The 23,622-nt window shown below is 48.6% G+C and overlaps 1 long non-coding RNA gene across 1 annotated transcript in view, besides 2 other annotated features; it reads right to left on the bottom strand.

Moving 5' to 3' along the window:
• Window positions 3,590-4,789: an enhancer, noted in NCBI's record as "BRD4-independent group 4 enhancer chr5:2136525-2137724 (GRCh37/hg19 assembly coordinates)". NCBI's record gives its function as "activates an origin of replication core promoter dependent on BRD2, P300/CBP, MED14 and CDK7 cofactors, and independent of BRD4, by STARR-seq in HCT116 cells {active_cell/tissue: HCT116}" and the evidence as "EXISTENCE:reporter gene assay evidence [ECO:0000049][PMID:35650434]".
• Window positions 3,910-4,409: an enhancer, noted in NCBI's record as "H3K27ac-H3K4me1 hESC enhancer chr5:2136905-2137404 (GRCh37/hg19 assembly coordinates)". NCBI's record gives its function as "activates a minimal SCP1, AML or CMV promoter by ChIP-STARR-seq in primed H9 embryonic stem cells {active_cell/tissue: H9 hESC(primed)}" and the evidence as "EXISTENCE:reporter gene assay evidence [ECO:0000049][PMID:30033119]".
• LOC105374618 (uncharacterized) overlaps window positions 21,814-23,622 on the bottom strand; it is a 188,354-nt gene continuing 186,545 nt past the window's right edge. The window contains exon 13 of the long non-coding RNA NR_171679.1: window positions 21,814-23,170. This is a non-coding gene — a long non-coding RNA (uncharacterized LOC105374618). The remainder of the gene's footprint in view (window positions 23,171-23,622) is intronic.

Raw genomic sequence — 23,622 nt, 5'->3', positions numbered from 1 at the left:
TATACAAACCTGAAAATGAAAAATTCAGCACCGGGCACAGGAAACTCATTTAATGTCGAGAGCAGTCAAAATCAAGATTTCTTTATTTGTAGTAACAACGCTGTTAAATCAGAAAATTACTCCCCCTTTCTGCACGTCCTTCTTCCTTTACAATTTCGTTGTTTGATCATAAATTGTCGAGTGCTGCGACTTGTCTCTGCCACTTCCCACACTGGCCGAGACAGATTAAAAACTCCGCACACAGACCAGCCTCGGCATACCATTAGCATATATATGAGATTTGAGACATTTTCTAATATTCTCCAGCAGGACTCATCTGTCAGACAGGTGATGGATTATAAAAACTCTTAGCTTGTTTGGAAAATAAAAGGGAGGGGGCGAGAGGAGGGAAGGAAAGGACTCGGACCCACCTTTCCTCTTCCCAGGCGTGCTCCAAGGGGGTTCGGAAGTCCGTGTCCGTCCGCTTCGGGAAGCAGAGAGAGTGCCCAGAGCCCGTTTGTCCCAAGGCAGGGAACCGCCAGCCCAGGACCGGGATGTGGGGTTGATGTGGTCCTAACAAGAAATGGGAGAACTTTCAGCTCATCCAAGCATTTTTTTTTTTTTTTTGACAGAGTTTCACTCTTGTTGCCCAGGCTGGAGTGCAATCGCGTGATCTCGGCTCACTCCAACCTCCGCTTCCCAGGTTCAAGCAATTCTCCTGCCTCAGTCTCCCAAGTAGCTGGGATTACATGCATGCGCCACCATGCCCGGCTAATGTGTGTGTGTGTGTGTGTGTGTGTGTGTGTGTGTGTGTATTTTTAGTAGAGACGGGGTTTCACCATGTTGGTCAGGCTGGTCTCAAACTCCTGACTTCAGGTGATCTGCCCGCCTCAGCCTCCCAAACTACTGGGATTACAGGTGTGAGCCACCATGGCTGGGCCCCCAAGCATCTTAAAAATGAAATGCTTTTGCGTCTAAATTACATGCCTCTCAGGGTTAATAAAACAAAGTACTGAAAACGTGAATTCAAGGTTTAAATACTGGATCCAATAAGATGCAATATTGTCCCTCCTGGGAATTAGAATGTAAACTTGGGGCAAGGGGAGTGCTTTGGGGAGAGAGAGAGAGAGAGAGAGTGTGTGTGTGTTGTATGTGTGTGTTTCATTTTCCACGGCTCTGTCCCTATGATCCAGACACGTCCATTGACAGCATCCAGTGAGTACTTGGGTTGAAGACTTCAATGAAATTGAAGACTGGGTAGAGCAAATTATTTGTTCAAGTATCGTAACTACAAACAATAGGTTTGATTATTTTTCCTCCTGCATTTGATTTTGTAAAGTCTTGGAAAAGCACCCAATGATGATTTTCTGCCTCAGAAACATTTCGAGTGGGAATCAGATGAATTGCTGACACTGAGTAAGCTGCAGATGCAGGGCTAGGAGCCCCCCAGGAGTCCTCAGTGGGTGGGAACCTAGGGAAGGTCCGGCCCCCATGGGAGGGCCCAGTTCTCTTCTGTCCCACCCTGTGCCCCAGTCATGAGCCTGGAAGGGCGACACTGACTAGTGCCTGGTCCTTGGTGTGTGTCATGCCCTAGCCTGAATGCCCTGCCCCACATGACCTGCTGTGAGCTCAGTTCATCCTTGGAGATGCAGCCACTTCTGTCTGGGCAGTGTCCACATGCCTCACGTCTCCAGGAGCATCAGTGGACTTCTCTGTGATTTGTACACACCGAGTACATATTTCCAGTGCAGAGGTAATCTCATGGTATTGTGATCATTTGTTTATATTTCTGTCTTTTTTATTAAAGGAAAACTCCTTAGAAATGGAGTCCGCATGAGGCTCATTGGACACATGGCCACACCTAACAGCAGATGCCACACAGGCAGTGTGGGCCACAGTGCTCTCCAGTGAAACAATCAGAAGACACAGACTCACTGGACGTAAAAACACCTAGGATTCGGGACATTGCTTTGGATGGGGCTGGCCGCCTATAAGGAAAAGGCAATGAGCAAAGGCCCTGCAAGGGGGGTTTGATCAAAGCAATGAGGAGTTTCTTCTCCAACTCCAAACTGCTGCCAACACACATGCGAGGCGTGCTGACTCAGGCCCGTTTGACAGAGGCATGAGAGGAGGCTCTGCCCACGTGGCCCCTGGGTAGGAGCAGACCCTCGGCAGGCTCTGGCGGTGGGCTCAGCAGGCTTGCACGAAGGAGCAGACTGCTGTGGGTGCTGGTAGAGCGTCACAGCAATAACTAATTAATTGATTAATGTGTGAATACATAAGCACTTTGGAAATGATGTATGGGTTGAAACGTGGGTCTGAGGCCAAGAAGAGGCAGGTTTGTTTCATTCATTCCCTTCTTGCTAGCACCTCTAGGAGCACCTGACAGAGAGTGTCCAATCAGCATTTACTGAAATGACATTAAGAATGAGAGCAATTCATGGATAAAAGTAATTTACCATTTTGAAGAAGAGGTTAAAATCTCTTAAAGAAAATAACCTGGTCAGGCGTGGTGGCTCACACCTGTAATCCCAGAACTTTGGGAGGCCGAGGTGGGTGGATCACCTGAGGTCAGGAGTTTGACACCATCCTGACCAACATGGTGAAACCCCATCTCTACTAAAAACACAAAAATTAGCCGGGCGTGGTGGCGGGCACCTGTAATCCCAGCTAGTCGGGAGGCTGAGGCAGGAGAATGGCTTAAACCTGGGAGGCAGAGGATGCAGTGAGCCAAGATTGCACCATTGCACTCCAGCCTGGACAACAACAGTGAAACTCAGGAAAGGAAAGGAAACTCAGAAACTTGAGAGGAAAGGAAAAGAAAAGAAAGGAAAGGAAAGGAAAGGAAAGGGAAGGGAAGGGAGAAAGGGAGAGAGAGAGGAAGGAAGGAAGGAAGGCAGGAAGGAAGGAAGGAAGGAAGGGAGGGAGGGGAAAGAAAGACGAAAGAAAGAAAGAGGGAGAGAGAGAAGGAGGGAAGGAAGGAAGGAAGGAAGGAAATCCAAGCACAGTAAAATACCTGCTGAGACATATTAATTGAGAAGTGATCTTGTTTGAATGATGGTGGCACCGCCTTGCGACTCTGACTTGGAGATTCTGAAATGGGTGAGGAGCCCATGGGGCTGCCCCCACCCTGCCAGCAGGGTGACAGGATGCAATTCATCGTCGGTAATTCATAATCACCACTCTCACTGACACCAGGTCCTTATGTCTTTTCTGAGCATGACCTGAAATGAATGGTCTTCCAAGAAATACAACTCCAAGGAATGCTTGATGATGCGCAGGAAAAGACGGGCATCTTCCCCGTTCCCCGGGAATGGCGTAGTAACGCGGCTGGTTGTCAGCATCGCAGTGAGTGAAGCGGCATCGGGATGAGCTCCTTCCCAGGCCCCGCCTGCCCTGAGGAGCGCAAAGGGAGGCTCTGCTTTCCTGTGTGTCTCCAGGAAGAGCAGTGGCCCCACCTGGGGACACCCCAGAGCCAGGACTGTGTCTTCCTTCCTGTAGCCCAACAGCTGGAGGCCCTCTCCTTTAGGAAAGGGAAAGCCACCACCGACAGCCAGCACTGACTGGCCTGGCCCTAAAACCAGGTCTCAGTGTTCTGCTCGGCACCAGCCTCAGACCAAGCCACTCTGTGACAGAGCAAGAAAAAGAGCATCTACCCCACGGCCACCTCCGATGAACATCGTCCAACCACAGGATGACCCAGCAGGCCGGATCCGAGCTTGGGCAAGTGACTGTGGCCTCCTTACCAGTCACGGCTCAGGCCTCGCCTCATCTCCCCATTCCTGGATGGGATTTACTAAGACACAGAATCTTCCCAGCTTCCTGACAGCAGCCAACCCAAAGCCGAGTCCTGCTTCCCCAAATGTCCCTCAAAGCTGCCTGATACAGCCTGAATCCTGAGAGAAGGCCATTCTCACCCCTCACGGTGATGCCCGTGTTTCTCCAGCATGCCTCCTCCCTCGCTGCAATGAGCCATGAAGTCACTTCTGTCCACCCACGCATGCACGCCTAGTCAGTTCTGTCCACCCACGCACGTGCCTAGTCACTTCTGTCCACCCACGCATGCACGCCTACTCACTTCTGTCCACCCACGCACTCGCGCCTAGTCACGTCTGTCCACCCACGCACGCAATGCCCAGTCACCTCTGCCCACGCACGCACGCCTGGTCACCTCTGTCCACCCACGCACGCAAGCCCGGTCACCTCTGCCCACCCACGCAAGCAATGCCTAGTCACCTCTGTCCACCCACGCACGCCCGGTCACCTCTGCCCGCCCACGCACGCATGCCCGGTCACCTCTGCCCACCCACGCATGCTGGCCCAGTCACCTCTGCCCGCCCACACAGGCGCGCCCGGTCACTTCTGTCCACACACGCACGCCCAGTCACTTCTGCCCACGCACACACACGGGCCCAGTCACCTCTACCCACGCACACACGCGGGCCTGGTCACCTCTGTCCAGGCACGCACGTGGACCCGGTCACCTCTGTCCACTCATGCACGCGCGCCCGGTCACTCCTGTCCACCCACCCGCGCGCACCTGGTCACTTCTGTCCACACACTCACGCCTGCAGGTTTGGCAGCAGGACATTGACAGATACTCATTATATGCAGCAGAAAACTAAAGTCATCAATACCACAGTCACCAACAGCTAATACTGCAAAATCCATGGGCTCGTGACACAAACTGATTAGGATTCAACAAATGCTCAGCTCTGAAAGGAAAAGCTGGACTCTCTGTGCAAATCCACGAGAGCATGCTGCGATCACCATAGGAAGTGGCTCCCTTGGTGCTCTTCCTCCCTGCAATTCCCAAGCCCAGAGAAGTCTTGGGACAAATTAATGTAACTCCCAACTGTTTTCTTTCGTTTGTTTCCTAAGTGTCAATTTTATTTTCTAAAAGGAAATATAATACAAGATGGAAACATCAGTACATCCGAGACTTTGTTCCCAGAAACAGCTGAGAGTAGAAGGACCAGCATCCCTTCTGGTGACATTTCCAGAGGAATCAGTATCTGGATGTCACCCTCTTCAGGAGCCCATAGTCACCATTTATTTTGTGCAAGGCATTTGGAACATTCCCACGGACACAGACATGCCAAGTGTGGCCAGAGAACAAGCCTGCATGGGGCAGGTACACAGGGCAGATGTGATCCCGCCATCTACAGGCCAGAGATGCAGGGGAAGAGGAGAGTCATCTCCAGCATGGGCACAGACTGCCCCTCCAACGGCTGTCAGGCTCAGGAGACCAGAAAGGCAACAGGTCAAGAAGGGCAGGAAGGATGTTCCCAGGGAAAGGACAGAACGTGGCCTGCCCGGCCAGTAAAGCACAAGAAAATCATATTTAGCCTCCATAACCAATGGCCATAAGCTCCCAGGAAATCAGGAAAATGAAGCTTAGACTATGGCCAGCTCTGTCTCCCTGGACAAGCCTGGGAAGCTCTGGGATCAGCCCCCACCCACCTCTCCCCGGCCCCCTCCACTGGTGGCTGTGCTGGGCTCCACACTCCCCACAAGGACAGGGAGATGAGATGTCTGTCTAATGAGAGCTCCTGGAGGCTGTGGGGTGACAATGAGGACCCCTCAGCACAGTGCTGGGCCTGGAGGCTCTCGGAATCAGGCTGGGGGTCTTCCTGCAGCGCCCCCTAGAAGCACCCTGTGCAGGTGCTGATTCTGCGCCCCCCACCCAGAAGCAGCATGGACCTGCCTCCTCTCCTGCTTCCTGTGCACCTGGCCCCTGCCAAAGCAAGCTAGTTCTGCTCCCAGTATACTAATAGCAGCTCCAAAATCAGCTTCTTCACAGCATGGCCAAAAGAAGGACAGTCCACAGTCCCGGGTTCCGGGAAGCAACGAAGCCCAAGCGTGTGTCCAGCCTGGCCCCCTTCCCTCCAGCACTATCTCCTGGGGAAGAACAGCTCTCGGCGCATTTCTGAGCTCTTCACTTTAACTATCTGTCCTCCAGACTCCAACAGTTCACCAGGTCAACTGGGACAATGTGTCCCTGAGCCCTGCAGGGACCGTCCACCCACGCGATCGACAAGCACAAACCGGAGAGTTTGTAACCCCATCTAGCCTTTACCCCGGTGTTTGGACAGGACCTTGAACATCTCTGAGGAAAAATAGCCATTTCCTGAGACAGTCCGGAATAAATGTGTACTTAGAAAAAGAAAATAACTTGCAAAGATGAGTCACAGCCCCATCACATGTTGACAGTGACTTCCTGAGACAGTCCGGAATAAATGTGTACTTAGAAAAAGAAAATAACTTGCAAAGATGAGTCGCAGCCCCATCACATGTTGACAGTGACTGCTCAGTTTCACCCGGTCTGAGCATCTTTACTCTGGAATCGGACCTTTCATCACCTTTGTAAGAAGCCAGGCAGGAGCCAGGTCATCCGCAGGCGTGAATTAGACCCTCCCTCTGCCTCTGCAATGAGGAGTGCGTGCGGTCTTTGGTACTGGGGTCCCTCTTCCCGTCAGGCTTCCATACCCCAGGACCAAGTCTTAACAGAGCTCGTGGAGAGAGAAGCAAGGTGCCTGGATGCTCGGAGCCTGGAGGGCAGATGCAGCTTTTGTACAGATTGCACTCTGGCCACGCCTGAAGGGGACTTGGACCTGGGACTGGAGGCCATGGCTGCAGGTGGGGCTTGGCCTTGGTGGGGGTCAGGGGATGTGGGAGGTCACCCCAGTGAGCACCAAGGAACCATGTCCTACAGCAGATGGAGGCTGGGGCTTCCCTGCTCCCTTCAAAGCTGTGGGTGTGGTTGGGGAAATACTTTACTCCCAGTCTCATAGTCTTAGGGCACTCCCCAACTGCAGGGCCAGTTTAGCTCCCTGAACCTGACGGAGACATCATTTGTGTGAGAGTTGACCGTACTCATGTGTTTCTGAAGCTTCTGAAGGGGAACATCTCTCCCAGCCACACTGCAGCGTTGAGACCTTGAAGCTGGAAACGGTCACCTGCAGGGTCCCTGGGATGTGCCGGGTCACCGCATGGCAGTGTGTGGGCTGCACTTTCTCTATGTACTTCCTTGCTCCTAACTCAAAGAATAAAACAGGCTGGACTCATGGAACCCAGCAGCCAAAAGTCCCAGCGGCCAGCAAGGCCTCCAGACACCTACTCAGATGGAGTGACAGCCTGGCTGCCCAGCCAGCTGGGTCCCCAAACAAGGCCAAATGAAGCACCTTCCTCTGTCCACATGCCTCAGCTCCCTTCAGCAGAGCTTCATCCTGCAGACCAACAAACCGCTTTGGTGGCTTCCTTCCTAGGGACAATGGCATCTCCTGAGACAGTGCACCTAATCGTGTGCCTCTGGATGGGAACATGCACTCTCCTATCAGCCTAGAGAGAATGCTCTCCAGGGCACTAGACTGAGCGGTGACCCCAGACTCCACATGCTGAGACCCCGGTCCCACTGGGACTGATGAGAGACAGGGTCTTTACAGGGTTAATTCAGGTAAAGTGAGGTCATATGGGGCCCTAATCCACTAGGACTGGTGTCCTTATAAGAAGAGGAGAAGAGGACACAGACACCCAAGAGGGACGACCCTGTGAGGACACCAGGAGAAGTCGGTGTCTACAAGCCAAGGAGAGAGGGTTCCGGAGAAACCCACCCTGCCACACCTCAATCTCTGATTTCCAGCCTCCAGAGCTGTGGGAAAATAAACGTCTGTTGTTTAAGCTTCCCAGTGGGTGGTGGTCTGTTATGGCAGCCTAAGCAAACTAATACGAGAGAAAAACTTTTTAGGGGCTGGGGGAACCACACTGCTAAGCCCCTATGTTTAGAAAGTGAAACTGCAAGACATCATTAGAAAGATTAACCCAAACCCTGCTGAATGCTTAGCCAAGGAACTGCACATTTGAACAATGGATTATTCTGAAATTTTGCTCCTGGAAGGGAGAGAAGAGAAAGTAGACAAGGACGACTCACATTCACTCACGCCGTGCATTTGTCAAGAGCGGCTGCTGTTTGCAGGGCACAGTTCATGGGTTCCGGGGCAATAGAGACACCAGAGAGAAAAGCTTAGGCCAAAATCCCTGGGTTCACACAACCAGATGAGGAGAGAAAGAAGCCTGAAAGGAATGAATTGGTATAAAATGTCTTGCGGGGACTGGAGCCAAGGAAGAGTCAAGTAGGGAAGCAGACACTGGAAGGTGGGGGCATTTTGAATCCCTCAGAAGGTGGCATTTGCGCAAAGACTCCGGGAGATGACAGAGCCAGACCAGGGAGGTTGCGAGAAGAGCCTTCTGCTGGGAGAAGAGGAACTCACAGCCCTTCCTTTGCCAGAGGTGGAGAGGGCCTCTGCGGGAGCGTGCCCAGCTCAGTGCACAACACAAGAAGCCAGGTGGCTGGGAATGGTGAGCACAGGCAAGGCTCAGAGGCGGGGGCTGCGGCCTGCAGTGTCATGAGGGCCGTTCAAGGCACTGGCTGACTCTCAGGGCCGTGGGGCCACTCCGGGGTCCCGAGCGGGAAGAGTGGATCTGACTTCCCTCGCAAGAGGACCACCCTGGCTGCTGGGTCAGGAACGGACTGAGGTGGGAGCCAACTGACCCCTTGCAGCACTTCAGGTGAGGGACGGCCGGGCATGAACTGCTGAGAGCCGGGAGAGGATGCGTCCCGCTCTGGAGCAGTCCTTGGACAGGCCCCGCAGGCTGCTGTCAGACTGGACGTGCGACGTGGAGAACAGAAAGAAGGGGTGGCCCAGGTGCAGGCGTCGGGGGAAGACGAGATGTCGTTTCCCGACAGGCCTCGTGCGCGATGCTTCGGAGGGGACTGGAGCCTCCAAGGCAATGGACGGAGGAGCCTGCAGCCGGGATGGGGTGTCCTCTGCTGGAGACAGAGATGTGGGTGCATCTTCAGGTCAGGAATGCTTGGATTTCCCCAAGAGGGGGCTGACGCCATCGAGCATGAGGACTGAGGACCGCGGCCTCCAAGGTCAGGAAGTCGCCATCCACGTGGCTCCAAGGGAGCCTGGGAAGCACATGGGGTCGGGGCAGCGCTCCCCAGTGGCACCAGGCCCTCCCTGCCTCAGTTTCCTCCCAGCACACTCTACAGTTTACGACCAACTTTGCTATCTGTCTTTCCACCCCGAAACGAACATCCACAAGGGTAGAGGTCTTTGCTGCTGCCACACCCAAAGCTCCAGGCAGCACTTAGCACAGGGAGGGACGCCCTGTAAGTGGCATTCAGGGGCCATGAGAGATGTGCTTGGAAAGGGGGGCGTCACCGGCCATCAAACGCTGCTGCCTGTGAGGAGGGAATCAAGCCTCCGCAGGCGGTGAGACTCCGCAAAGCGCCCTGACCGCGGGCATTGCAATTTTTGGCACAGAGGCGGGAGCCGAAGCCCAGCCGAGGCCAAGAGACTGGGTGGAATTGGAGGTGGCAGAGAACCCCTGAGCGGAAACAGAGGCAGCATGGCTGCTGCCATCACAGAGGGACGTCCGGTGTTCCTTCTGTGAAATAGAAGAAAAAAGGTGTAAAAAAAAAACACAAAAAACAGGCTCCTTGTAAAGGAATGGTCCAGTGAGAAGTCACTGGCGAAGAGGCTGGGACAAGGGAAGCTCCTTGGGAACAAGGGCCAGGGAGGTGTGGTCACAGAATGGTGTGGCGCGTGGGAGACACCAAGTGCTGACCACTGTGTAACATGAGAGGCTACACTTCATGTGTCCACCACTCTTCACGTGGCTCCTGTGTGTCATGTGTCCACCACACTTCACGTGGCTCCTGTGTCATGTGATCATGGGACGTCTGTGATCACCATAAACTATGAGGCCATTATGCTTCATGTCACTCCTGTACTCCATGTGACCGTGACCGCTCCTGGGGCCCCTGCACGTCCTGTGACCCCGTGCCAGGCTGCCTCACCGCAGGTGCTGTGTGTGGCCGTTATGGCCATGTGCGGTTTGAGAAACAGGCTGAATTTCTCTGGTGGATTCACGTAGATTGGGAAACAGAAAGGAGGAGCAGAGACAGGACCTGCACCAAGGGACCCCAGGAAGCCCACACTGGCCTGGGAGTCCTGGATGTTTGGGGAGAAGCCGTGTACTCCCACAGGTCACAGAGTTATCTCTCCAGCTCCTGAGAAATAGGGATGGCCCAACTGAGGGATTTAGGGCACCCCCGAGTTGCTTTGGTCTGCTGTGGATTTGCTTTTCTTGGGTGTGCATTCCGGCATCATCACTACACCAGGAGAGACTGCGATCGGAGAGAGCGAGCGAGCTAAGGAGGGAGGGAGGGAGGAAGAGTTTTCATGTATTGAAAAATGTCTCCAAGTATTTGGAACCCTAGCATGATCTGTTATTTCTACTCAGAGTCTGAGCCTTCAAGAACATTTTTTGAAGCAGAGAAGAGAGGGAACATCTGACAAGTATTCTGTAAATGAATAAGAGAATTCCAAATTTCACTGTTCCGCTGTTTCACTGTGGTGGTGCTGGGGGTTCTGGACAGTTTGCCTAAGGCCCCTGTCTCCAGCTTCAGCCAAACCCTCAATATCGCACACAGTCCACCTCCTTCCCACCGTCCATTTTGGTTGGTAAGGGGCGGGGCTTCCCATCTCCCCTTTTATGGGAGTCCTGATCTCCATACCTGCTTCCTGGGAGGCCCCTCATGGACCTGCGGTTGGGGAGCATACCCTCCCCTCAGGCAGAGCTGGAAGACAGAAAGCCAGGAAACCCCTCTCATCAACTCCTTCCAAGTTCCTGGCCTTCTGTGTGGGGGAGTGGCTGGAAGTGCCTGGCCTTCTGTGTGTGTCAGAGGGTGCACTGGGAGTGACGGCAGACAGGGTCCGTGCCTTCTGGGAGTAGGTTCTGAGTGGCAAGGCCGAGCCACTCTTTAGGATGAGGACTCTTGTTCCCTGTTCACAGCCTCTGCTGAAATACAGTGAGAGTAAATTCCCAGTTAACCTCCTGTTCCCCAAGTCGCCTGATTTTCTGTTGGTTGCACAAACATCCTATTGTTTTATTCCTAGGCCACAATGGAACATGCTGCTATTTCACTTTTTATATGAAAACACTGCCTTTCCAATGATGCTGTATTCTTTAGGATACCAGGGGGCATGTAAAGCTGTATCCCTCTCTCTTCCGCTAGGGAAGGCCAGATCCAGTCGCCCCAGGCTGGGCTGTCGCAGCCTCTGCAGGAGCCCCGGGGTTCCAAGTGATGGGGTCAAGGTGTTGCTGCCGCACTGTGAGGCTCACCCAAGCCGGTTCTGTTCTATGGATCATCTAGGTTGTATGGAACGATCAAAAATATTGATGGGTAATGGATCCTTTCTTTTTAAAATGATTGATTGCTGTAAACGAAGTACAGTTCAAGGAAAAACAAAGCACACACTGAGGAACCGGAAAGGGCAGCTGGAGGCCGGCTGCTCACCCACAGAGGCCGGCTGCAGAGTCACGGCTCTGCTCCCCCTCTCCCTCGCTGCACCCTCCTTTTCTCCCTCTTTGCTATGGAGCAGGGTGGACGGCACTGGATTTATTGTGCTTATCGTCACTCTCACCTCTCCCCGAGGACTCTGAAAGTCTTGGCATTGAAAGGAAACTTTCACACAAAGTGCTGCGGAGAAGGAAACGTGCCACCAATTGCTTCGGCAGCCTAAGCCCTTTCGAGACGATATATTTGCCCTTGAATTATGTTTTTCTTCTCATGATGATTTGCGGTTCTTGAAAAACATCACTGTTTAAAAAAAAAAAATTTCAAAGGAGACAAAGGAAATGAACAAAGTCCCTGCTCGGAGGGGGAAAAGCAATAGAAGCTGCCAATAGGAAGATTTCATGCTTCTGTTAATTAAACGAACAAAGAAAAAAACAGGACAGGAGTCTGTAGCCTACATTACGGCTTCCACTGACCAAAAGTAATAGACAATCTCCTGCATTTGGTTCCTGTGAGCACGTTGAGAGCAGGTAATGGAGATTTGGGACTGGAAGGCTTCACCGCTGTCAGGAGGAGGGGTCCCCTTCCCCTCTCTTTTATTAAACGACAAAGTGCAGCCGCCTGTGTCCTATCTCTGCCTCTTGCAACTGTTGGATTGTATTATTTTACATTTTGATTGAAATGATGTCACCACCAGATAAAAGCCGGGCCGCATTGTAATTGAATCGGCCCACGTTGTTTATTCTGGTGATCCACAGCCGCGCTCCGCTTGTCCCAACGCCACAGACATAAAAGATCCCCTCCTGTTTAACACGCCACTGATTAGATCTCTCCTCAAAAAAGGGATCGAGCTGGGGGGTCGAGGGCCCAGAGAGAGAGTTATGTGAAAAAAAAAATTGGAAAAAAAAATTAAATGAGAAGAGACACCATCTGCCAAACTTCTCAAGTGTGACTGAAAGTTTCCATGAATGAATTTTGCACGGTGTCAGCGCCAGATGCAAACAGCTCTGATGGACAACACCTAAATGATGGGTAATGGGAACGGGTGCGTTTGGGAGACGTTTTCACCTCCCTTCCGAAATGCCATTCCCATGTTCTCATCTGGAGAACAACCCTAGCTTTATTTATAGAATACATTTGCATTTGCTTTATTTGGGCATAAAAGTGACATGACATCTACAGGGATGATGAAAATGAGGGAAATAATTAAATGTTTATATCCAATTATTTGGCTTTTTTAATAACCATGTTTCTCCCCAAAATTCTGCTTCTAAAAACAGCTGTGGTGATATGTCTGTTCTATCTATAAAATTAAACATAGCAAGAAAAAAGAAGTAGTGTCATCACTATTTGTGCTAACAGGAGAAATGGTTTTTTAACCCTATACATTTCAGTCTAATGACCAAACTTTGTTGTGAGTGAAGGTAATTTTTTTTTTTTTTTTGAGACGGAGTTTTGCTCTTGTTGCCCAGGCTGGAATGCAATGGCACGATCTTGGCTCACTGCAACCTCCACCTCCCAGGTTCAAGCAATTCTCCTGTCTCAGCCTCCCAAGTAGCTGGGATTACAGGCACCTGCCACCACGCCCGGCTAATTTTTGTATTTTTAGTAGAGATGGAGTTTCATCATATTGGTCAGGATGGTCTCGAACTCCTTACCTCAGGTGATCTGCCCACCTTGGCCTCCCAAAGTGCTGGGATTACAGGCCTGAGCCACCACGCCCAGCCAAGTGAAGGTAAGTTTTACATATATATATATATATATATATAAACAGAGTTGTATAGCATACATTTTTGTGGATTTTCCTTATTTCTGGGTCTTGAATTCCTAATTCCCTCCCCAGTCACTCAGCCATAGGTTCAGTGCTTCCCATTAGAGAGAGGAAGATGGTTCCATCCTCCCCATCAGATAGAGGGTCAGAAACCATCTTACTGAAGGGACACAGCCCAAGCAGCACAGGAGAGGCTTTAGGCAAACCTCCTTCACCTTCGTCGTGAAGCTGTTCACATGGTCAAATGTTCAAAATTAAAGGAATGCTAAATTTACTTTTACTGTTGCTGTTACACAGGCTAACTAGGCCTCTGTCAGAAGTGGAAGATGGCTCGTATTTATTTGACTTGCTGGTTGGGAGGGTCTTGCCACTGGTGGACCCCAAAGTGGCCTGGCCCATGGTGGTTTGCTACGTTTTGCTTCTGATCTCTCTGAAAGGTCGCCTGGCACCTTAGAAAACCTAAGCTCGTAATCAAAGTCCAAAGACCACAAAGTATCTTTCCCTTAAAAAGTCTACATTTTAATCTTAATGCTTTTTCCCTAAAAAAGAAAAAAAAAACTAGTTAGGCAGGATGCCTGTCTGTTAAGTAGACAGACAAATTGTGGTTACCCCCACGCAGTGAAATATTACTCAGCACTAAAGAGAAATGGTCTATGAAGTCACGAAAAGACACGGAGGAACGCTACATGCATACGGCAAAGTGAAAAAAGCCAGTCGGAAAAGGCGGCCTCCTGTAGGATTCCAACCCTATGACACCCTGGAGAAGGCAAAACGACAGAGACAGTGGAAAAATCAGTGTTTTCCAGGGACTCAGAGGAGGGAGAAACAGGTGGAGCACAGAGCAGGGAAACTCCTCTGGATGAGACCATAATGGTGAGTCCATGTCATCGTAGGCTGGTCCAAACCCACAGACTGTACAATACCTAGAGTGAACCCTCATGTAAACCATGGACTTTTAGTTAATAGTAATAACGTATCAATATTGGATCATTAGTTGTAACAGCTGTACTGCACTATTGCAAGATGTTAATAATAGGAGAACAAGGGGTGGGGCATATGGATGCTCTCTGTACTCTACACTTTGCTTAGTTTTTCTATAAATCTAAAACTCCTAAAAAAACTGATTATTTGTTAATGCACAATTTAGCTTACCTTTAATATTTTTCTTGGAAATTCAGGATGTGTTTTCCCCACACCAAAGCATGCTGTAGCCCTAGACCAGTGCTTTGGGGTCCTCTGCACCTATGGTGGCTGTCTCTCTCCCACCGCCAGAGTCTCTTCTACAAAACAGAGGAGCCCCCAGTCCAGCTGGCAAATCAGACTAACTTCCAGAACCCACCTAGCGCCTTCTGCTCTTCCTTTTTGGATAGGTGGAAAACCAAAGCTTGGCCTCACTCTTGGGCCCAGGACTGTGTCCCCTTCTCAGTAGCCCTGGCAAAGTCGGAGGAACCCTCTCTCCGGCAGGGCCCGACCATCGTAGGACAGCAATTCAGGACGGTCCCATAGGCATCCCGCCTCCTTTCCTGTCCAGAGATTAATAAAGTTTCCCCTTCAGATACGTCCTCAGCACCTGTGGGCATTTCACAAATTTAAATAGTGAGGAAAATACCATAACAATGTAATTTAATTTGCTTTTGGTTTCTTGTGAAATCTGTATTAAAGGAAACATGCCCAGATCCATTAACATTTTCCCTGCCCACACAAATGTGTTTTTCAGTTAATAAGCACCAACAGAGGTGACAGAGAGAATAGCACGGTCAGCACATCCTTCAGCCTCCTGGCGCCCACCGCCCTATTTACCTCCCGCTATTGGGGCGAATCTGTCACCCGTGGAAAGGTTCCCCACCCTCAGCTCCTCAGTGCATTTGCTCCACACTGAGCTGCAGCAGGCTCCCCGTTCATGGGACACAGTCTCCAGCCATGTCCCATCCCACAGCCTCACACTGGGCTTGGAGTCCATGGTCCATCCCTGCGAGCACCTTCACACACGCCTCCATGCCTTTCCCCCCATCCTGGGAAAGTGCCAGCAGGGCAGGCCGTCTTCTTCCTCTTCTGAGCCTGTGCCTTAAGCAGCAAAGCTCTGAAGATAGAAAGGTCCCCCGCCCAGTCTCCCCACCTGTATCCATCACCCTGCAAGCTTACTGTCTGTCTGGGCATCTCGCTCTCTCACCTTTAGCAAAAGTTACTCAGAAATGTCCCCTCCATTGTCAGCCTCTGACTTTTCCAACTCTCTTATAACTCTCAGGAACGAGACCGATGTTGGAAAATTGTCTCTACAGCACAGACGAAGTAGAATCCACCAGAGCACAGATCCACCCCCAACACCCAAGTCTACACCCGTGGGAGTTGACCCCCCTCCTTCCTGCTGAGGAGCAGCAGCTGACTGCCCTCCCCTTGGCCTGCCCCTCCTGGGCCCTCCTCCCAACACTCCCTCACAGGGTCCACCTTACAAAGTGCACTGTGGTCTCTCGCATTGAATCAAGATTTAAAGCTACTCTCCCTGGAGCCACATTCCACCATCCCAGCTGCTTCCCCACATCACAGATGCTCTTCCCTTCCCCTTACCCCCAGGCCACTGCAACCTGTATCCCACCCACCTTCCATCAGGACAGCCCCCAATACTCCAGCTGCTGCTACAGCTTCATCTCATCCTGTGGGCTTCCTGGGTCTCCCAGCCAGCCAGCCTGCCTTCCTCCTGCAAGCCCTGCCTGTCCCTGCCTTCACCACCCATCCTACCTGGCGTGTCCTCCTGCTGCTCCCCTGGGCTGCTCCCTCTGCTCCACCCCCTTAAAATGCAGGGCTCTTCAGGCACGGTCCTGGGAATCCCCACCCTCTTCCACTTCATATCAGAGCTCCTCAAGAAACGTGGCATGAAGGGGCATGGGCATGTCCAGAGCCATTTTCTGCCCCATTCCTTGGGGTGTCTTGGAAGTCTGCTGCTAGAACCCACAGCCTCCCGGATCTGGCAATAGCCTCTTCCCTTTGCCCAATATTATACATGCATCGATTACATGGATGCTCTGAAGGGCTTTGTCCCTTAGGGAAGGCAAGATAAATGCTCAGTTTTCTTACCTTTTATGCAGCAGATTTTTGAATAATGAGCTGGTTCCCTAGCAACCTCTGAAGGTTGATGCTGATGGTTGTGATTGTTTTAGCACAATTAGGAACTCATAGGCATTAATGAGAGTGACGCTTTTCCACCCATGGCCTCGCCACCCTTATGGATGTTCAGATTGGCCCCTGCTGGGCCAGTGGGGGCCTCTCCTGTGGGCTCCTGTGTCCTGTGACCTGGTTCTGGTTGTCACCGAGCACCTCCTTGCTGTCTGAGGTGACAGATGCTCCAGAGCTGTCCTTTCTACTTCCCGCCCTACACCTGGAATCTGCCAATAGGCCAAGCAGCCCTGGATTCCTGTAACTGATGACATTTGGAGACTAGCGTGCTGGTGTGAGGGTGCTCTTGGTACCGGATTAGCATCGCGTCCAGGCTGCCCTAGAGAAGAACTGGAGAAGCACACGTCATGAGTACACCCTGGCATCACGGAGTCAAATGCCAAATTGCAGCTGTCTGGGCTGAACACCATGGTTTTGAGCTGCTTCTGCCCATTCCTCCTGCAGAGCGTGACTGTGAACCCCGGGCAGGAGGCAGGAAACACCCAAGGGGGAACTCTGGCTGGCAGTGCAAAGAAGGGGAGCTGCCTTGGGAACCCAGGACTGAAAAGATAACACATGGCAGGGCACCTTAAGTCCCTAACCAACTAAGAAGACCACTCAGACCCAGCACTTCTCAAACACAATGGCAGAAGGCAGCCCAGGGAGGCTCATTGCTCTTGGGATCAACCCGGAGTTCTTCTGACACCACGCGAAGGACTTGGCATTGCTAGGAAAGAGGATCAATTGAGACCTTCAGTAACAATCAGTGCCTAGGGAAGCATCTCTTTCCCTGTGAGCCCTGGGACCCCCATGCCAGAGACACTGGGACAGCTGGGGGCACCTGGGGAGCCCCTGTGACACCTGCCAAGTCAGGCCCCTTCCTCCTCCTGGCTGGAGACTCCTTGTCGCTGCTAGGAGACACCCGGTGCCCTGGCCTGGGGAAGCCCCTTCCACCCCAGAGGCGGTCCCAGAAGAGACCAGTGTGAGCCTCACGAGCAGCAGCTAAACCAAGATGAAAACAACCCCACAAAGCCCTCAGAATAAACCACTGGAACCACAGCTCTCAAAGGAGGCCGGGACCTGCATGCCAAAATACAGCAGGGGGACTGCATGCTGAAATTAAAAAAGCAAGTAGGACCCAGTGTCTCCTAACATGAGAGACAACATGCCTAGGGTACAACAACCCACGATACCAATAAACAAAAAATCACATTCTGAATTTTAGAAGACAATCAATTGATGACAGCTCTCTGATACAACCATGTTTCCAAAGTTAAAATTATCTAACAAAGAGTTTAAAGCAGCAGTCATTAAAATTCTTCACCAATAAATTACAAGTTGCCTTGAAAGAAATTTTAAAAATTTAGAAGTTACAAAAACTATCCAAATCAAAATCATAGAACTGAAAAATCACAACGATGGAACACTGATTGGAAAGAAATTTTTAAAAATCACCACAAAGAAATAGAAGTTACAAAAACTATCCAAATCAAAATCGTAGAACTGAAAAATCCCAAAGGTGGAACACTGACTGGATGGGCTCAACAGTAAAGTGGAGATGACAAAGGAGATGACCAGCATACTTGAGGAAAAATTAATAGAATTTACCCAACCTGAGAAACAGAAAAATAGAATGAAAACAAATAAAGAGACCCTCAGGGACCTGTGGCACAGTAACAAAAGGTGCAATAGTCATACCATTGGAGTCTCAGAGAGATGAGAGAAACAGAGTGTGATATAGTTTGGCTGTGCCCCCACCCAAATCTCATCTTGAATTGTAGTTCCCATAATCCTCACATGTGATGGGAGAGACCTGGTGGGAGGTAATTGAATCATGGGAGCGGTTTCCCCCATGCTATTCTCATGATACTGAGTAAGTTCTCATGAGATCTGATGGTTTTATAAGGGGCTTCTCCCTTCGCTCAGCTGTCATTCTTCTCTCTCCTGGCGCCATGTGAAGAAGGACATGTTTGCTTCCCTGCCATGATTGTAAGTTTCCTGAGGCCTCCCGAGACAAGCAGAACTGTGAGTCAATTAAACCTCTTTCCTTTATAAATTACCCTGTCTCAGGCATTTCTTCATAGCTGCATGAGAATGGACTAATACAGTGTCTGAAAAAGTATTTGAAGAAATAATGGGTGAAAACTTTGCAAGTCTGGTGAAAGACACAAACCTACACATACAACAAAGTGAACAAACCCTAAATGAAATACACAAGAAACAACAACAGCAACAAAAGAAACTCACAAACTCGCCCCAATTAAACTTCTGAAAATGAAAAACAAAGAAAAAATCTTGAAAGCAGCCAAAAAGAAGCAGCACCTGACCTACAAGGGAACCCCAAGTTGAATAACAGCAGCTTTTTTACCCCAAAACTTAGAGCAAAAAGAAAGTGGCCCAGCATTTTTGTAAGTACTTAAAGAAGAATTGTGAGCTATGAATTATATAGCCAGTGAAACTGTCCTTCAGGAATGAGGAGGAAATGAAGAAATTATCAGAGGAAGGAAAATTAAAAGGATTTGTTGCTGGCAAATTTAGTCTTGTAAGGTTTTTACTGAATCTCTTTAATTGTGATAATACTTAGAATATTTTACCCAAAACTATCTACAGATTCAGTGCAATCTATATCAAAATTCCAGTGACATCACAAAAAAAAACCTTAAATACCCAGAGCAATCTTGAGCAAAGTGAATCAAGCCAGGGTCATCACACGAACTGATTTCAAAATCTAAAACAAAGCTATAGTAATAAAACAGCATGGTACTGGCATAAAAACAGCAGAAACATAGACCAGTGGAACAGAATAGAGAGCACAGAAATAAATCCACACATTTATGATCAACTGATCTTTGAAAAAGCTGCCAAGAGAAACTAATGAGGAAAGGAAAGTCTCTTCAATAGATGGTGCTGGGAAAACTGAATATTCACATGCAGAAGAATGGAATTAGACCCTTATCTCACTCCATATATAAAAATGAACAGAAAGTATATACCGACCTAAGACCCCAAACTGTAAAACTACTAGAAAAAAAACCATAAATATTAAATAAAGACATGGTCTAGCTCTATCACCCAGGCTAGCATGCAGTAGCATAATCATAGCTCATTGCAGCCTCTAACTCCTGGGCTTAAGGGATCCTCTTGCCTCAGCCTTCCAAGTATCTAGGGCTACAGGCATACACCACTGTGGCCAGCTAATTAAAAATAAAAAACTGCTTTTGTAAAGATGAGGTTTCACTTTGTGGCCCAGGCTGGTATTGAACTCCTGGCTTCAAGCAATCCTCCTGCCTCGGCCTCCCAAAGTACTGGGATTACAGGCAGAAGCCACCATGCCCAGCTGCGAAAAGCTTCTTGACATTGGTCTGGGAAAGATTTTTTGGATATGACCCCAAAAGCCCAAGCAACAAAACTGAACATAGATAAATGGGATTGCATCAAACTAAAAAGCTTCTGCACAGTAAATCAGCAGAGTGAAAAAGCAACTTACAGAATATGAGAAAATATTTGCCAACCATGCAACTAATAACTGGTTAATATCCAAAATATAAGGAGCTCAAATGACTCAGCAGCAAAAAACCAAGTAAGTTGATTTAAAAATGGACAAAAGACCTGAACAGACATTTATCAAAAGAAGATGCACAAATGACGAATAGGTATATGGAAAAGTGATCAACATCAGTAGTTTTCAGGGAAATATAAATCAAAACCACAATGAACTCTCACCTCACACCTGTCAGAATGGCTACCATGAAAAAGATGAAAGATAAGTATCAGTGAAGATGTGAAGAAAAGTGAACTCTTGTAGACTATAGGTAAAAATTAAACTAGTATAGCCACTATGGAATACAGTATGGAGGTTCCTCAAAAAATTAAAAACAGAACTACCAAGAGATCCAGCAATCCTACTACTGAGTATTTCTTCAACCTACCTCAGTGTGTCCAAGGGGTATCAGCTCTCCCCTGTTCATCACAGTATTCAAAATAGCCAAGATATGGAACCAACCTAAATGTCCACCAACAGAAGAGTGGTTAAAGAAAATGTGGTATATGTACACGATGGAATATTATGCAGCCATAAAAACGAATGGAATCCTCTCATTTGTAACAACATGGATCAACCTGGAGGACATCATGCTAAACAAAATAAGCCAATCATAAAAAGATAAATACTGCATGATCTCATTTATATGTGGAGCCTGAAACAGTTGAACTCACAAAAGCAGAGAGTAGAATGCGGTTATCAGGGCCTGGAGGTGGGGGCAAAAATGGGGAGATGTTGGTCAAAGGATACAATGTTTCAAAAAATAATAAATAAAAATTTATATTTTTATAAATAAAAATAATATATTAAAATAAATATAATAATATATTAAAATATATTAAAAATAAATAAAAATATATATTTTTTAATAATGGTAGTACTTTCTCAATTGATTATTTTGAAAACCTTTAGGATTGCTTTTACTGGAAGGAGGAGAAATGGTACCTACAAGATCCCCCAGACAATCTGTCAGTCCATGGATGCATAGCAACATCGTGTAGTGAGCAAGTATGATGAAACGGAACTGCGGGGTCTGCCATGCCCTGCTCTGTCTGTATCAATGCTGGGTGAGTTAAGAAAATTCAGCAGCTAATGAAAGCAGCAAAATTATCATTTATCATCTGGAAAATCCACAAAGTGCCTGGAAATTCTTGACATTTTCTGGAATGCTTCCTGCCAATGCAAACACATGTAATTTTTAATAAACGTGTTCAACACCATCCCAATGTGTTTTACTAGATTAAAAGCACTTCAAAATTTTCCACATTTTCCTCTAATCCAAAACGCACTCCTGGGGGCTGGCAGGGGTCAAGTGGGAAGCAGTCTGCTGAAACAACACTAAATGAATGTCAATAAATACTCATTATTCCAAGAGGAAAAAAAATGTTTTATCTATCTTGGAAAATATTTTTTAAAACTTAAATGAGCCTGAGACACAAAATCAGCTTAAAAATCTATATCTCTAGGGAAGAGGAACTAAAGGGGAAAAAAACCTATTCCTTATCAAAATGATGAGAATAAGAGTATTGCATGGCATGAACAAAGTACTGAAAGAGATTTCCGTTTGACCCGGTCACGGCCCATCTTGTAGATTTGCTGCAAGATTTCTGGGCTGCTCCAGGCTCCGCATTAAAGAGCCCTTGGCTGGGAGGAAGCCCTGTTCTTCTTCAACGCCCTCAGTCCGAATTCCAGTGTCACACAGCAGTTCCATCATATTAACTTCAGAAATCTCAGGTTAAGAAAAAGTATTGCAGTTATCTGTGAAACTGTATGAAAATAACTCAAAGAGGGGATAAAACAGGGAAATCAGCTATTCAAAGAATACAACAGGCTTGGTCACATTTTATGACAGATACTTAAAATATGTATCATAAACAATTAGACCCTTTGGCTTTTCCTGAAATCCCATTCCTCACCCCTTAACTTGCCAAATTGAGTCCACGGTAGTATAAATTGACAGTTCATGTTCTTGAGGTTATAGACTTTATGCCTGACTCCACTGTAAATATTTGATAAGATATATTTTGGCATTTATTAGAAATCAAAAGTACAATTCTGAGAGCTTTAATAAGGACCTATGACAATTATTTATTTTTAAAGAACCAGGAAATGTAGAAAATTAGTTGCCTGTCCATAGGGATCTTATAATTTCTTAGTAGTCAAATATCAAAGGTTTTACAAACAAATTTAAAAATCATCCACTTTAAGTGGAGCGAAGCTTTTATCTGACGAGATGGTTGGTTGTTGTCTTAACCATCTGCCACTGCATGTGATGGGGCTTTATGTTCATGCTCAGGAGTGTGGGCAAGTGCTCAGAGCTCATCTCACAGGTGACCTGAGATTCTTGAGCCCCTCGGTGCTGGAAACCGGGTCTCCTCCACGGGCTCCTGCACTGCAGTGGAAAACAGACAAACAAGTAGACAAACAAGAATGTAAAGTGGAGATTTGTGATTTGGTGTTTATACACCACAGAGTTCTCTCTCATAAGATGATAGGAAATATGATTCAGAAGTTGGCATTAGTTATTAGTAGTTACATGGTAGTAACAGTGTCAGGTAAAAATGTGACAAGCATTTAGAATCCCTCTCCCATTACCTCCCAAGGAGAGTCTGCACAAGCCCCTGTTTTCCTTGCTGGATGTGTGAATGACTCCCTGCATAGAAAAACTAGGAGGAGGTTTTCTGAATGACAGTGGGTCCTCACCCTTGCTGGAGAACACAGGAGGAAAGGAGCGAGAGGGGAGGAGGCAGCTGAGAGTGTGGGCCTGGGAGGGAAAGACACGAAGACCGTGCTGTTGAGTAAATTTCAGCGATGCTCCTTCTACTGGAGAACACTTGCATTTCTTTTAGAGGCTTCCTGGAGTGTGTGAGTGTGTGTGTGTGTGTGTGTGCGCGTGCTGACACAGCATCCTAGTGAAATGAGCCTTAGGGAAGGAACATGGCGCCCAGGTCTTAGTTGCACTGTCTTCATTTGTTGACTGTTTTCTGGATGCCAAGTTCTCTGGTATTCCCCTGTGAGTCAATAGACCAGCAAATAGAAGAGCCTTGTCTTTCTTACTCCAATATCTGTGATCTTAAAAACCACTACTACAGGGCAGAGAATTTCTCCAAGCAAAATCCAATTTGGGACTAAAATCGTGGAATGGGTTCTTAGGGGTGTCCGTCGCTCCCCCACTGGAATTACTGATCCCCACAGCCTCTTCCAATTGCTGCATCGTAACTGCTACACGTTGGCCAAGCAGAAGCTTGCATTGGGCGGGCTGGCTGGCATTTGTGGAGGCCACCAACTGACTGGAAGAGCCTGGACATGGCTCTGAGGTCTCATCACTCCTCCATCGGGTCCTGCACACACCAGAAGATGCCTGGAGAGAAACGTGAGATTAAAGATTGGTAAGGGAAAGCAAAGACTGTAAACATGCCATTTTCCCCCAAATCCAGGAAATCTTAGCTTTCTTGTAAGAAATAGTAAGAAAACCTTTGAAGAAGCAAATGAAATGTTTGCCTGACTGTCGTCACGCTTCCTGCATACAGACACAAAAGTTCCACGGGCATTGGGCAGTGAAGGAGATAGGAAAATGTGTTCAAAGTAGTCGTGCTTTCCTTTCAGACATCGGAGAGTGCTCCATCTACTCCCGGGGGACCTGGCTCTGTGGGGAGATCGGGAGGGATGAATTCTGAGTGCTCTTCATTGATGACATGAAGAAATGGCCGTGCAGAAAAGATAACTGATGAATCAAAGAACTATTCTTCACCCCATGGTGCCGCAGGAAGCTTTGTAGCTGTCACGGATTCCCAGGAACTCCGTGTGTTGTGA

Source organism: Homo sapiens, chromosome 5, assembly GCF_000001405.40.
Source record: "Homo sapiens chromosome 5, GRCh38.p14 Primary Assembly".
Taxonomy (NCBI): Eukaryota; Metazoa; Chordata; class Mammalia; order Primates; family Hominidae; genus Homo; species Homo sapiens.
The sequence above is the reverse complement of the archived record's forward strand: the minus strand, read 5'-3'. Positions and strand labels throughout refer to the sequence as shown.